The following is a 15,687-nucleotide window of genomic DNA, read 5'->3' as shown; positions in this document are numbered from 1 at the left end:
ATCAAATTATCATAGCTTTATAATATTTGTAATTTAGTCATATAATTACTTAGAGGACATTTTGTGAAGAGTAGGCTTCAAAATTCAGCTTTAAGGTTCTTTTTTTATTTAAAAATGCAGAACTACTTTGTATTAGAAAGACACCTTCACCACCTACTGTTTGGAAAAGCATGGTTATATTTAGTTCCTTTTATTTTGTAATATTCTAAACAAATGGCATTTTGCTTAAATATTTTAAAATTTTATTTTGTGCTTGTTCAACTTTTCTAAATTTTTTACTCTGTTAGCCCTTTATTTTGCATTATCTTTGCTTATACTTTAAAAATATATAAAATGTGCCAAAAATGTAATGATACTCTTGGGTCCTTTTGGGTAAAAAGTAGTCCTTCAAAATATGAGTTTTTTAGTTTACATCACACATTTATCATTGAGTTTTCTTAGCAGTCAGGTATTAAAGTCACAGTACTTGGTAATTGAGAAAAAGAATAATTGGCTAGATTCTAAATTTATGTGAGATATTTTAAAAGAAAGTTAACCTCTTAGATTTCCCATTTCTTGATGTGCAAAGTGAGCGTAATAATTCCCACATTGTAGACATTACACACTACTGCAAGTGCCTACTCCAGGTGTTCAAAGACAGTATGATGAATACTACTTAGTGTAATTTGAACTTAGACCCTAGTGCTATAAGTCACTGCAAAGGGAATATATACATAGATAAAATGGAGATTGGCGCTATGTATGCACATACACATATACATACATGCATGCATATTTTATATAGACATTTTGTATATAAATGTTAAATATCTTATATGTACATATATCTTCTGCCTATGTTTTCTGGCTTTCTGTGTCTCTACCCAACTCTCCAATCCCCTTCTAAAAGGAGAGAGGCACACACACTCCCGTGGATTCTACCAGAAATTATAACAGAAGAAGACTAAAGATGTCAAGAGATGTTGGCAAGTCTACATAAATCAGTCTGGATCTAAAATAATCTGTAAAATCCCATTAGCTTACAAAATCAGTGTGGTTACTATCCTGTAGGAGATTTATAGGAACACAGTTCTAGCATTTTTATTGCTATTTCAGTTGTTGACCATACTTTCCCAAATGCAGTGGAGTGACTTAAGTGACTTTCCCAAATGCAGTGGAGCCTCCATAGGTAAGCTTTTTGACAATAAAGGAAGAGCATGAAGCACGGCAGATAGAGCAAAGAATCAAGTTTTGAGTATTCACAGCTCCCTTAAAATCTGATGAGATTTCTTCCTTTTCAAATGACATTCTTGTAAGAAAGGTTTATAAAGCATAAAAACATTTATTTTCTGTAAAATTGTTGTTTCTTTTGTGACAGTCCCAATAAGATATGTGCATATATCTTTTTCTTATTTTTTTGGATGATTACTTACCATATTGTTTTTAAGAAACTGAAGCACAATAACCTTCTCTTTTTAACTAACACAGATGAAAGATGAAGAAAATATATTGTTTTGCTGATAAAAGTTTTTATGAAACAATGAATGGCAGAATTATACATGCTACAAGTTGTCTTTAGTGCTCTAAATAGCAGCAATATCTAATTTCTTCACCAAAAGCATTCATAATCAAAACACAGTCTTAATGACTTAGCTGGACTATTGTAATAAAAATATTAGAAGTAACCTAAAGTTATTTCAGTCTGAAGTATTTTTGTTTAGAAATTAGAAAGTTTTTGTGGCCGGGCGCGGTGGCTCAGGACTGTAATTGCAACAATTTGGGAGGCTAGGGCAGGCAGATCACTTGAGCTCAGGAGTTCACGACCAGCCTGGACAACATGGCGAAACCCTGTCTCTGCAAAAAATACAGAAGATTAGCTAGGCTTGGTGACTGACGTCTGTGGTCCCAGCTACTTGGGAGGCTGAGGTGGGAGGATCGCTTGAGTCTAGGGTGCAAAGGTTGCAGTAAGCCAAGATCGTACCACTGCATTCCAGCCTGGGCAACAGAGTGAGACTCCATCTCAAAAAAAAAAAATTCTGAAATTTTTAATCAGACGCATAAATACAATGATCAATATTCAGTGTTTCTTTTGTATAAATAAAACAGATTTACAAAAGAGCATCATATTATTATGTATTCAATCACTTCCTGTCATGTAATCCTTTATACTGGTTTTCCTAAGAGAGCTGTTTTCAGAAATCATTTTTTAAATTCATGGAGGTAATACTTGACCAATATCAGACAAATGCTTATTCTGGAATTTACAAAGATTTTAAAGTACTTTCAGATGAACAGGAATAATTTGTGTGTTTTTTTTGTAAAACCATGTGAACAAAATGAACCTTTTTAAAAATGAAGATACCTTTTATATTAGGCTTTTTTTGCATTGCTATTAAGAAATACCTGAGACTGGGCAATCTATTAATATAAAGAAAAGAGGTTTAATTGGCTCATGGTAGAAGCATGGCACCAACATCTGCTCAGCTTCTGGTGAGGGCCTTGGGAACCTTACAGTAATGGTGGAAGGCAAAGGGAAGTAGCCGTTTAACATGGGGTGAGCAGGAGCAAGAGAGAGGAGGAAGGGCCAAGCTCTTTTATGTAACCAGATCTCCTGTGAACTCATGGCAAGAACACACTCGTTACCATGGTAGTAAGCCATCCATGAGGGATCTGTCCCCATGATCCAGTTAGCTCCCACCAGGCCCTAGCTCTAACATTGAGGATTGCATTTCAATATGAGATTTGGGCAGGACAAATATCTAAACCATATCATCTTTTAATTCTCTTTGCCATCTTTACTACATTAATTTTATTATTATGAATGACTTTAGACAATTTATTTAGATTAGACTATCTAGATTAAAATTAGGCAGTTATATTTGTTCAGTAGCACATGTATCACCAATTTCTATTTTTGAAGATTTTTGGTGTCCCTGATGATGATGAACCATATGAGTGTGCAAGATCTGAATTAGTGAGTGAGTGGTTTTGCTCTGGCTGGATATGCTAAAAAAGTTATACTTTTCTTTTCTTGTTTTTTTTTTTTTTTTGAGACGGATTTTCGCTCTTGTTGCCCAGGCTGGAGTACAATGGCGGGATCTCAGCTCACAGCAACCTCCGCCTCCCGGGTCCAAGCCATTCTCCTGCCTCAGCCTCTGGAGTAGCTGGGATTACAGGCATGCGCCACCACGCCCAGCTAATGTTTGTATTTTTAGTAGAGACTGGGTTTCTCCATGTTGGTCAGGCTGGTCTTGAACTCCGGACCTCAGGTGATCCGCTCGCCTCGGCCTCCAAAAGTGCTGGGATTACAGGCGTGAGCCACCGTGCCTGGCCTATACTTTTATTTTCTTTACATTTTGGCATTTTGAAGTATCCAATGGATTTGTTTTCCTGTCTTTTTTCTTTTCATCAACTTTTAAGTTCTGGGGTGCATGTGCAGGATGTGCAGGTTTGTGACATAGGTTAACGTGTACCATGGTGGTTTGCTGCACAGATCAGCCCATCACCTAGGTATTAGGCCCAGCATCCACTAGCTATTCTTCCTGATGCTCTCCCTCACCCTACCCCCCTATTTTTCCATCTTCTGATATGGCTGTTCACCTTACACAAAAATAGCTGCTGTAGCTGTGTGCCATATTGCTGCTAGTTAATTTTGTCATTTGGTTTCTACTGAGCACAGATTTTCTATCACTGAGCACAGATTCATGCAGAATTAATGGATATCCTGAAAGGTAAGTGGAGAGAATTAAGAGAAATTATCTGTACTCCATGCTCATGTACGAAACCGTTTGGCTCTTCTATTTAACTATATAGTCAGAATGGCAAACCTCCCATTTCCCATTGAGGATACATGGCATGTGAAGGCTAGAATTTCAGACCTTCATCTTTGTGACACTTCCATAGACTGGTACCTGGTGACCTTTGTCCCTTCTTGGAAACTGCCTTTGTGATGTACCTGCCCTTGTCATGTCCCTTGATTCTGACCTCTACTACCACCACCAACACCACCATCCATCAGAACTATCCCTTAATGTACCTGAAATAACTCAATAAGTAACACCAACCTTCCTCGAGTTTTGTAAGCCAAAATCATAGGAGTTATCCTTGATCTTCCTCATTCCTTCACATTCCACATCCAGTTCATAACTTCTAAAAATGCCTTTTATCTGGATTAGTCTCCATCTCCCTAACTGTTCGCTCAGACTTCACAAATTGTCTCCTAAATGGTTTCTCTAACTTCTGCTGTCACTCCCTTCAACGTATTCTCTGTGTACCAGGTTTTTCTCCCAAGCTTAAAAACCTTTCAGCACCTTTCCATTTCCCTTTGAATTAGCGCTATTCTTCATTTATAGCTTGTGGTCCTTGCTTTTCTCTGTTCCTAGAATTCTCTTTTCCTAGATATCAGCAAAGCTTGATCCTTCCTCTCTTATTTCAAATCTTGATTCAGATGACCACTTGTCACTAAACTTTTGTGTGACCACCTGTTTTAAAGTACATCTGCATCATTGATCAGCAGTTGCAGAGACTGGGTGGTGATGAGGGCAAGTGTGAATGCAGAAGATGGGTCTGGAGGCCACTGCAAAAATCAAGACTAGAGATCATGGTGACTGGGACTAGGTTTGTGATATTAGGGATGAAGTAATGTAAACCAATATGGGGTGTATTTGGAAGTTTAATTAAAAGTTCTCACTTATGAATTGGATTTGGAGTGAGGAAAGAGAAATGAATCAAAGATTAGCCCCTTAGTTTTGTCTTGAATTACTAGGTAGGTGTTGATGCAAAAATGACAGGGGGAAGATTGTAAGAGGAGATGGCTTTTTGCAGAGGTGAGAAATTAAGACTGCTGCTCTGGATTTGTTACATTTAAATGCTAAGTGAAGATTTCAAATACACTGTTGGCTATGGGAATCTGTCTTTGGACATAGAGATTTCATAGTGAATGACGTATTGACATGTGAGATTACCTAGGAAAGTAATTAGAGTAGAGAGTACAGGACTGAGTCCTAAAGCATCTCAGTACTGAGAGTTTGAGCACAATGGGTAGAGCCAACAAAGAAGATTATGAAGACTGCCGGAGAGATACAGGCAGAAAAACAGGGAAGTATGGTGCCCCAGAGGTCAGAAGAAGCAAGTACTTCATGAAGAAGTGGTTGCCCAGCTGTGATGAACATCAGGGAAGATGAAAACAAAGAAGTGAATAATGGATTGGCAATCAAGATGGCCTCGACCATATAATTCTCTGTGGCCAGTATTGTGAACACTAATCTCCTGTGGCTCTTTAAGTTTAAATTTACATTAATTCAGATTAAATAAAATTAAAAACTCTTCAGTCATATTAGGCATATTTCAAATGCTCAGTAGCCACATGGGCGTAGTGGCTGCCATATGGGACAGCACAGAAAGAGGGCATTTCCATCATGCAGAAAGTTCTGTTGGGGAGTACTGTGGATGGGAAGTACAGGCCCTGAATGGGCACATCCTCCTCTGTCCTGACAGACTCCTCATTCTGTGGTGAGGGGTATGGCCAGAGGCAGACCAGAGCAGGGCCCTCGATGGCATTGGGTCCAGTGTTCCTGATTTAAAGAGGATGATTATCAAAAGTCTTTTCTTTTATTGAATGTAAGTGTTTTTTTCTGTAGTGACACCTATGGGAGATTCAGGACACTGGAGAATGTGATTGTGAGGGCTTGGGTTGTCTGGGAAAATGGTATTTTGTGGGCCGTATTTGCGCTAGCCTAAAGATGAATAAGATTCAGATCCACAACAGGGTATTGATATGTCCTTCAGCTGAGAAAAGAGAAGAATATAGGTACAGTTGCATTTTAGACAAACAACACATTCAATCCTCAGAACAACTTTAGGAGGGCAGGTACTGTTAATATCTTCCTTCCAGATGAGAAAGAGTTCCATCTTATTTCGAGACATAATATTGATAGGTAAACTGAGGTTTTATTCTGTTAGCTTTTTGGAAACTAAGTAGGGGAGTTAAAGTTTTCACATAGTGGTCAAAAAAAATGTTTCTGTTTTTCCCAACTGCGTTAAATTCGGAGAAGGTACCTCAGAAAGGCAGGCTGATCAGCTTTCTCCAGATAACTTCTATCTATAATTAAGTTGACTGCCACTCCATTTTATCAGAGTTCATGGCAGAATAGCTACTCAGTGTGGAACAGAAATATGGTTTATCTCACACAATGTCATATCACCCTAAATTTAACTTCCAACAAAAGTTAATGCTTTTTTAAAATATGAGTTAATTATTTTATCAACTATCTACTAGAGGCAAATGCCCTACCTTTTGTCATGTTGTTCTTTACAGTTAAACTATGTACATGCCTGTTTGTCACACTGGGTTATAAGCTCCTTGAAGCAAAGATGGATGTATCTTTGCTTTACCGTGGAGTGCTCTCCCCAAAGCTTTGCAAATAATTAGACATGTAATAGAAATAGCTTGGATTGAATTAACTACCATGTTAACTGCTGCTGAAATCAGGTTCAGGTCAGCAGTATCCCCCATCTATTTTCCTTTTGTGCTTGATCTTAGGGGGTTCTTCCCTGTCACATCTCTTCAGTTTACCAAAGAGAAAAAGAAAAATCCCTAACCACGTGCTACCTTGATTGGATGTCGTGTCGTTTATGTAAGGCAGGTTACCAGTTTGGCAAGGACATTTAAATTTATCGTCTGACTTCTGCAGTACTGTGCCACGCATTCCTAAGGCTTGTATGATAACTGGTACTTCAACAAAGAGAAACTTGTGAGGCTGATTCAATCACTCATTTTTTTCTCATGCAAATAACTGTTTTTGTTTTTAAAGAGTTTATTGCTATTCTCATTGAAGTTGCTTTTTAATAAAAGGATGTACAGTAATGCATGATCTTTTATTTAATAGCCACCAACAAACTTCAGAATGTATTTTAAAAAGAGGGGGACAATATAATATTGATTTTAATGATAGTAATTATTTGGAGAAGAAATTCTGAATTTAGCAGTCCTCCTCACAATGATTAGATTAGTACATTTTGCATTTGGGGATGATTATTTAAATTTAACAGAAGACGATTTACAAAGACAGTACTATAACAATACAATGAACAGGAAAATGAAGAAAGAGTATGACTCCTGAGTAAGACCCTTTTGCCTGAACATGAGATGGTTCCCTAAATCGCCCTATACATGAGGCTGCTGTTTATTTCCTTCCATAATTTGCTTTAAAATATGTTAATGATAAATTCTGTTGGTGTACAATACATTGTATTGCTTCTGGTTTGAAATATTCGTAATTCTTTTGTAATGTTTTTAAGATGATATCAAAACATTAGAAGCATTCATTTTGGATTTTATCATTGGCTCTTATGGATCAAATATTATAATTTTTATTTAAATCACCGTTTAATCGTGGCATATGATTACTTATGTGTTCTTTTGTTGGTAATACAAAAATCCAAAGTCTATAAAAATCAAATTCTGTAGTTGACATTTCTCATGCAGCCTGTTTTTGAAACGGAAGTGTTACATATCAGTGATTTTAAAACTCTTTACATGTTTATTCACTAAATACATTGACTTGCTTTTAAATTCAGAATTATTTACTTCCTTAAATCTATATACACTTTGTGTAATAAATTAAAATCTAAGTACAAATATGTTCCTCTGTTTTTGTATATTCCACGTCTGTCTCTTTCAGTATATGCTGTGACTATCATTTGTATGAAAGTCAGAAATGATCAGAATGAGAATGATTTAGGAAGATGCAGTTCTGAAAATTCCAAAAAGAGTATCTTCTTCAAATGTTACAGAAGAGGAGTTTTTAAACTTCAGGATTTGTTTGTATGCAGAGGTTAGTATTTCAAGTGCCAGCCATGGATGTAAACCAGCTTAAATCAGAGAAGCCCACCAGGTAAAAGATAAGAGTAGCTAAGCTGTTCTAATCAAGCATAGCCACCCCTCCTCACTTTGTATTTTCAAATGTGGGGAAGGCAATATTAAGCGAGCTAATAGAACATTCCGTTTTACAAGCCCTTAGTTTTTAATTTCTGTTCATTTCGTAGACAAAGCCACAAATCAGGCTGTTTATTTTGGGTTGTATGGATGAAAAAGACCCAGTTACCTGTTTATTTTATTTTATAATAAGTTTTGTTAACGTTATATAGAGAACATAATGCCACTTTCTTCCTCCATTAACACTCTAAGTAAAAAATTGAGGAAGAGCATTCATGATCTTGTGCTAGGACCAGGATTAGATGTGTAAAGTTATCAGTAAATTGGAATGGGAAAGCCAAAGTGGAGAATTGTTTTAAGTTTGTCAGTGTAAATTAGGCTTTGCATACAGCGGGTACTTTTTAGCTCTATCTGATAAACAACTGAGTTTATTTAGGAAAAAAAAATCATGTTGTGCAAAAATTGCCTGTCTATACAGAGGAGATGCAAAATGAGAGTGAAAGCATTTTGAAAAAACACAGGCAGAAGAAATATTATTTGAGAAACTTTTCATATGGGACATAAAAGATTAGAAAATGAAATTCTCCTGACTCTGGCAAATCTATAACTAAATCATGCCATTTGAAAAAAAAATGAATGGTTTTCTTAATATTTATAAGTTAGCAGATCTTTGACTAGGTTTTAATTGCTTTTGAGCAAATAAGTTGAAAATTTTTAGCTCCTTTATATTAATTACAAGAAAAAACATACCTTGCTAAAGAAATGGAAGCAATTATTTTATTGCTTTAAGCTTCTCAGAAATTTAAAAGAAAAAATGTTACTTCAAATATTTTTATCTTTTACAGAAAAATAGGCTTTAATGATTCTAGCAGAATGCAAAAATACAGAAATAAAAGTGAAATCTATGTTTTTATAAATAATGGTTTATATATATATGACTTATAAAAATGGAGTAAGTTTCCCCTAATTTACCTTTCATTTCCAAAACAAGCTTAATTTCTTTTTAATTTTCACTTGGCAAAGACTCCTGAAATTTGACTTTTGTTATCTCTAGAGAGCATGTTTGGGCATTAATGATTGTGAATAGGTGCATTTAAAAATTCTAATTTGTTTAGACGTTAACACTTTCAGATATCAGACTTACTTAAAAGTAGGTGTATGTTTTATTTTCTAATGCAATAATAACTTCTGTTTGCTAATAACATTGTCTAGTCTTTTTAAAAGCAAAAGTTTTGATAGTTTTTTTCTTTAAGCAGGTCAAAGTATAACTTTCCATTTAATAACAGTTTGGTTAGTTATACTGCTAGGTTATTTATTTAAAAAACAAATCTATTTAGAACATAGCCAAGAATCTGGGATTTAGAAAAATTGTCTTTGGGAGACCAGCCCTGTTCATGCACCTGTGAAAGAAAAATCCCATAGGTCCTTAAAAGCCTATTTATTCTAGTTTTAGGTACCAGTTTTACCACATGTTTGTTTTGCTTTCCAGCTCCTAGAGTGGTTTGGAAGCAACAAATTAGGAAGCGAATGGTTGAGTCATGGCTAGAGGCATCTGGAAGCAGCAGGAAGTAGCAGAGGAACCTCCGTCACAGGTTGGAGGCAATTCCTCATCAGGACCCAAGACTCTACATAGATGTTTAAGAGGAATAATTCCTTATACAGTTTTCACCCCTACGCTTAATGGCCTGTGATCACTTTACCATGCTGATGTGTCCTATGAGGCAATAAACTAATTGAACTCCCTTCTAACTCATTTAACTCTTCGTTAGCCTGGATCTGATGCTAAACTAAGAAGCTGAACAGTTTGGTGTTTGTTCATTTGGAGAGGAAAAGTGAAGTCCAGAAAACATTTCCTGTTTCAGGGATATCTAAGTGGGGTGGCAAGTATATAAATAGTTAAAATCAGGTGGGCTGAGTGTCAGTTTCCAAGTATTCATGAGCAGGTGTGGACCAGAGAGGAGGGGTCTTTGTGCACGGTGGAGAGTGAGGAGCATCTTATTAGAGGTGGCTTGAGCTGAGTCTCAAAGGAGCAGTGGGATTATCCAGGCAGAGGAGGTAGAGAACCATGCTCCAGGCAGAACGGCTAGCATGAGCAGTCACTGAGACGACTGAAGGATCAGGACTTATTTGAGAACCTCAAGTAGTTAAGGAGCTTGTGGAGGAGTGGGGCAGAGCAAGGGTCAGCAAACTTGTTTTATGAAGAGTAAGTATTTTATTTAGGCTGTGTGAACCATATGGCTCATCACAAAGACTCTTGCTCTGCTGAGTAGGTAGTGCAAAAGCAGCTGGAGGGGGATATGCAAATGAGAGGGCGTGGTGTTCCATGTCCACTATTTATAAACACCATCTGGTGGGATTTGGCCTGCAGGCCCCAGTTTGTGAACTTCTGTTGTAGAGATTGTGTTGGCACCAAGGCCCTCTACTGCTTTGAGTAATTAAGTCATTGTTTTTGTTGATATCTTCATAGGATTGATCTGCAAGGCATGATGTAGATAGAATTATGTGTGTTTATATACCTCCCCTTGTCTTCAGGACATTTTTGTTCTGCGTTTTAATTATTGTGGTTTTACTGTGTGTTTTGATATCTTATCTATGTTTCCTATTATGGAGAGTCTAACTTTTCTTAGAGTTATATAAAGCAGTTGTCTACAGTGTATAATTACCTACTTACCTTTTGTTATGTTTTCTTTTTGTGACTCAAATTTTATGTCACATTCATAACGTTGGGGTGGAAGAGAAGCAGAAAAAAGTTCAACTATCCCAGGGTCATAAAGGAAGGCTTCACCAAACAGTGACATTTGAGCTGGCCCATTTGGAATGAGTAGGATTTTGCCAGTCTGTGAAAAGAAGAACCGGCACTTTGGGCTTCAGAAATAGCATAAGCAGAAATAAAACCATGTGAAAGACAGTGTAATACTCACTGAACAGCAGGTTATTCTGAACATCAGTAAACTTGAAGAGTCTCTAGGTCTGTCCTTTATTTTAAAGTGTCTTCATTGATAGTCTCAGTAGTTTGAATTTTTCTTGTGGGCTGTGGAAAGTTCTTGTTTTTCTCCAGTCTGTTATCCCCATCACAGCCAAAATGATCCTTTTAAAACATAAATCAGATCATATCAGCCCTCTATTCAAAAACTTTCCTTCTCAAGATAAAATTCAAAATCCTGTCATCTCCTCACAGGGCCTCCATAGCCTTGCTCCTCACCCCCATTTCTGATCTTAGCTCCTCCCATGTTTCCTGCCACACCTCCCCTGGCCTCCCAGGGATTCCTTGGGTGCCCCTGCCTACTCACAGCTCTCCCAGCTCCTGTCTCTGGAGCACTGTCCACAAGGACACCATCCTTACTTTATTCAGGTTTCAGATCACGTCTCACTTTATCAGGCAGGCCTTCTATGAACACCCAATCTCAGTAGCACCTCCTCCCATGGCACTCTCTTGCCCTTTACCCTGCCTTTTCTTGTTAGAAAAATCTCTTTTTTAGGAAATTATATCTTATGTCACTAGAGAAGTTAGACTGCAAAATAGATGAGGACCATGAGAAGATAACCGGAGCCAAGGCAGAGGCATGCTGAGCAGTGCACAACGCAGAACAAATTCCCACGTCAAAAATAGTTTAAAATAAGTAATAGAAAGTTTGTACTTCCTTTGCATTTTTATCTTATTTCCTTTTAGTTTTGCCTACCTGGAACCACTTCATGCCACATTCAAATGAGAAAGTCTAGTTTTATGTAAGAAACATTGAATTTTTAAGGTTAGATTTTATGTCTTTTTGGCCCATGTAAGAAGGGGAAAAAGGTTTTTCCCTTTTTATTAGCCTTTGTATAATTTTATGTGATTATCCATAGAGAATATAGTTTTCTGTTGTGAAGAGAGGTTGTGGAATAGATAATTTAATTAAATTTACTTTGAGTTCATGCTTTTCCAAAACCAGGTATAAAGTCTGTGTAACTCTTATGACCCATTAAGAGTCTAAGATTCATGAGAGACATCCAGGGAAGATGCCAATGGAGTTACTGCTATTTTATCATGAAGTCCTTTATGACAGCTAAAATACTAAGAAAAGTAGCAACTAGATTATATATGATAAGGATGTATTAACTATATAAACATCTGTTTGGTGACGGGGTGGCTGTGGGGGTCAGGGGTTTATATGAGCACAGGATAGAGTCGTGGCAGGCCAGAGTAGTCTTGGAAAAGGCAACATTTGGGCGTGAAAACAGGGAATACCTGTTCTCTTTAGAGCTGCCAGTTTCCAGGCTTGAGGCTGAGGCCTTTGCTGGGGAACCACCCTGTTCTACCCAATATTTCCTTGCCTCCTGTCCATATCAATAATAATAAGATCTTCATAGAAATGAAGAAAACAACTTTTACAAAGCCAATAGTTAATGACAATCATTTGATCACTTATTTTTCATAGAAATGCTACTTCCAGCAGTATGGAGGAGTAGGTACTAGCAAGAAGGTGACATCAGTTTACAAAGAAAACACCAGTAGACTGACAGCCAACCTGTCAATATCAACAGTGGCAGCTAGAAGACAATGGGATAATATTTTCAAAATGCTGATAGACAATGTCCACATAAAGCTGTGTGGTCACTCACTATAATTCTGTGAAATACCTTCAAAATATTGACAAAAATAAGGACAGTTTTGAACAAAAACTGAGAGACTAAAAGGAAATTCTAAAGCATTCAGCTAAAAGATTCCAACTTATTATTGCTGAGTTAAAAATAGAACCCAAAATGATGATCTGAGCTGTAATATGGAATAATGACTAAAAAAAGGCATTTTATAAAAGCGTGCACATTTTCTTCTTAAAATACTATTAATACGGTCTGATTGATAGGATTTTTATACAATGATAGAGCTGAAGTATTAGACTGTAATAACATTTAAATTTGGAGAGGACATTGGGAGTTAGTTTCTAATGTCCTTATATAGTTTGTTAATTATACTTGTTTAAAAAAAATTGAGAATAACTGCTGAAAGAACAGAGGTTCAATGTATAATTTCCCAAAGAAATTGAATGGGAATAGAATGTGTAAGACAGCAAGCAAACAAAAAAGTATTTCTTTTCTTTTCTTTTTTTTTTTTTTGAGACGGAGTCTCACTCTCACCCAGGCTAGAGTGCAGTGGCACGGTCTCTGCTCACTGCAACGTTTGCCTCCCGGATTCAAGTGATTCTCCTGCCTCAGCCTCCCGAGTAGCTGGGATTACAGGCGTGTGCCACCATGCCTGGCTAATTTTTGTATTTTTAGTGGAGACAGGGTTTCCCCATGTTGGCCAGGCTGGTCTCAAACTCCTGACCCCAGATGATCTGCCCACTTCTGCCTCCCAAAGTGCTGGGATTGCAGGCATAAGCCACCGCGCCCAGCCACAGAAAAGTATTTCTGTGTCATTTTTTAGAAATCAGAATTGAAAAAATTAAACAAAAAGGACAAATAGAAACATAAAAAATAAGAAAAGGAATAAGGTAAAAATAAAGCCAAGTATCACTAATTATAAGCCACGTAAATGAATGTGGAATGCACAATTCTGGCTGGCCCCCAAGAGTTCCTGTCTGCTTCAGCCTAGAGTACATGTTTTGCATAATCCCTGGAATTGTGAATTTGATGGATTTTACTTCTGTGATTAGGTTGTATCCTGTGGCACAATTGTCTTTAAGAAAGGGAGATTGTCCCAATGGACCTGATCTTATCACAGGAGTCTTTTAAGGGAAGAGAGTTTTCTCAAGCTGGTCCTAGAAAGGGAGGTCTGAGAGATTGCCACATTGCAAGGACCTGAGAGTAGCCACTAAAAGCTGAAAACAGTCCCAGCTAAAAGCCGAAAGGCATCTGTCCTACAGCCACAAGGAACTGAATTCAGCCAATAATCTGTGGTAGTGTGAAGGTGAGTCTTTGCTAGTTGAACCTCCAGATTAGGACTCAGCAAGCTAAAACCTTTTTTTTTTTTTTTTATTTTAGCTGAGTATAGCACCCAGCTAAAATGTGCTGGATTCCTGACTCACAAAAACTGAGAATAATACATTGTCTTGTTTTAAGTCAGTATGTTTGCAGTAATTTATCATGTAGCAATAGAAAATTAATACAAGAATCTAATTCCAAAAGCCAAAAGACAGAGACTCTGAGTTTGAATTTAAAAGTATAGTCATATGTGGTTTACACACCTAAACATGAAAACAAAGGTTGAAAATAAAGGAATAATGACAAATTTGCCCTGGAAATACAGCCATTTTGTTTCAGATCATTCAGATTTTAGCACAGAAAACAATTGGGTGAAGATAGTTTTACTAGTTTATCAGGACAGTATAAAAATACTAAACCTGTAAGCATTTTTTAAAAATAGCATGAAAATATATAAAGCACAATTCATCAAATGTAAAACGTTAAAAAGTCATCTACTACAGAGGTAGATTTTAATACACCTTTATCAATTATTTTTGTCAAGCAGGAAAAGCTGGTAAAGATTAATGATTTATACAACACATTTAATAGGGTAAATGGAATAAACATATATAGATTCCTGTATCTAACAGTTTAGAAAATAGGCATTCTTTCAAGGACATGTAGTAATTGCAAAAATGTATCACACAATGTACAACAAAGCAAGCTTCATCAAATTTCTGAAAATTTCTGTCACAAAAACCATGTTTTCTAACCACTACACTTAATTAGAAGACAGTAAAATTTAAAAATACATTTTGAGATTTGACATTTTTCTAAGTTACCCATGAGTCAGTCAAAAAATCATGGTGGAAATTTTCAAAAATATTAGAACTATATCGTAATGAAAATAAATTTGCAGGAAGCTGTCAAACTGGTCTTTGTAACCTTAAAAGAGAATAAATGTACATATTAGAAAAGACAAAAAGCTCACCATGGGAGTTCATGTTATTATGCTTCCTAACTTATATTAATTGTATTCTTTTGTATATTTCAAATATTACAAAGTAAATCTGTTCAAGTTCTTTTTTTTTTAGTATTGATTGGCGAGTGATCTTCCTAATTTGGCAATAACTACTACGTTCTTTTCACTTAAGTATTCTTTTGCACATGATATATGAAAATCTAAGATGACCAGTGTTGAAACATAATTGTAAACCATACTCAAATTATTCCTGATTATATTTTTATATCTCATAATTAAAATACCTATTTAAAATATGGTCTTTAGTAATGACTGTAGATCTTTGAAACTTTGTAAGGGCAAAGAGCTATAATTCTTAAAATTTCTCTTTGGTTAATATCTAATCCAAAAAACATATTAGTGAGATTTACTTAAAACCTGTAAGTGAAAATTTCAGTATCAAGGAAAGTGTCAGTTCTGAAGAAAATATTATTTTCAAGGTGATGATCAGTTGGCCCATGTTTCTTAGTTTCAGTCACTTGAATTGGGAGTAGTTAATGGTTTCACTCAAGGTAAGCCATCTGCCAAGGTGGAGGGTGGTATAATAGGATGTACTTGTGTGATCTTCAGGCCTATATGACTATGTACCACACGTTAGTGTTAAGTGCCCTTTGCTGAAGAAAACAGAAGTCAATTATTGGATTGATTCCAATTTAGAATAGACAGACATCACTGCAGTGACATTTTCCTGAATAACTGAGTTTATCAAGACTGAACTTATTGTAAAAAGGGCATCATGTGATTTACTTTACATGGGTCTATGGCTGCTAGTAAGAGTCACTAATTGATTTATAATCTTTTCTAATTTATGGTAGTGCGTAATTGCTTAAACGTATTGAACAGGCATGAAATGTTTCACAGGGGAAGT

General features: G+C 36.4%; 1 protein-coding gene and 1 long non-coding RNA gene across 21 annotated transcripts in view; both read left to right on the top strand.

Annotated features, from left to right (window-relative positions):
- Positions 1 to 15,687, top strand: part of KLF12 (KLF transcription factor 12) — a 619,957-nt gene that overhangs the window by 416,024 nt on the left and 188,246 nt on the right. The gene's annotated exons all lie outside the window — the stretch shown is intronic.
- Positions 3,441 to 7,618, top strand: LOC124903182 (uncharacterized). The gene is made up of 2 exons (XR_007063825.1): positions 3,441 to 4,057; positions 4,427 to 7,618. It is a non-coding gene; the product is annotated as an uncharacterized LOC124903182 (long non-coding RNA).

This window comes from Homo sapiens, chromosome 13 (genome assembly GCF_000001405.40).
Source record: "Homo sapiens chromosome 13, GRCh38.p14 Primary Assembly".
In the NCBI taxonomy this organism is placed as follows: Eukaryota; Metazoa; Chordata; class Mammalia; order Primates; family Hominidae; genus Homo; species Homo sapiens.
This window is presented reverse-complemented; position numbering and strand designations above follow the sequence as displayed.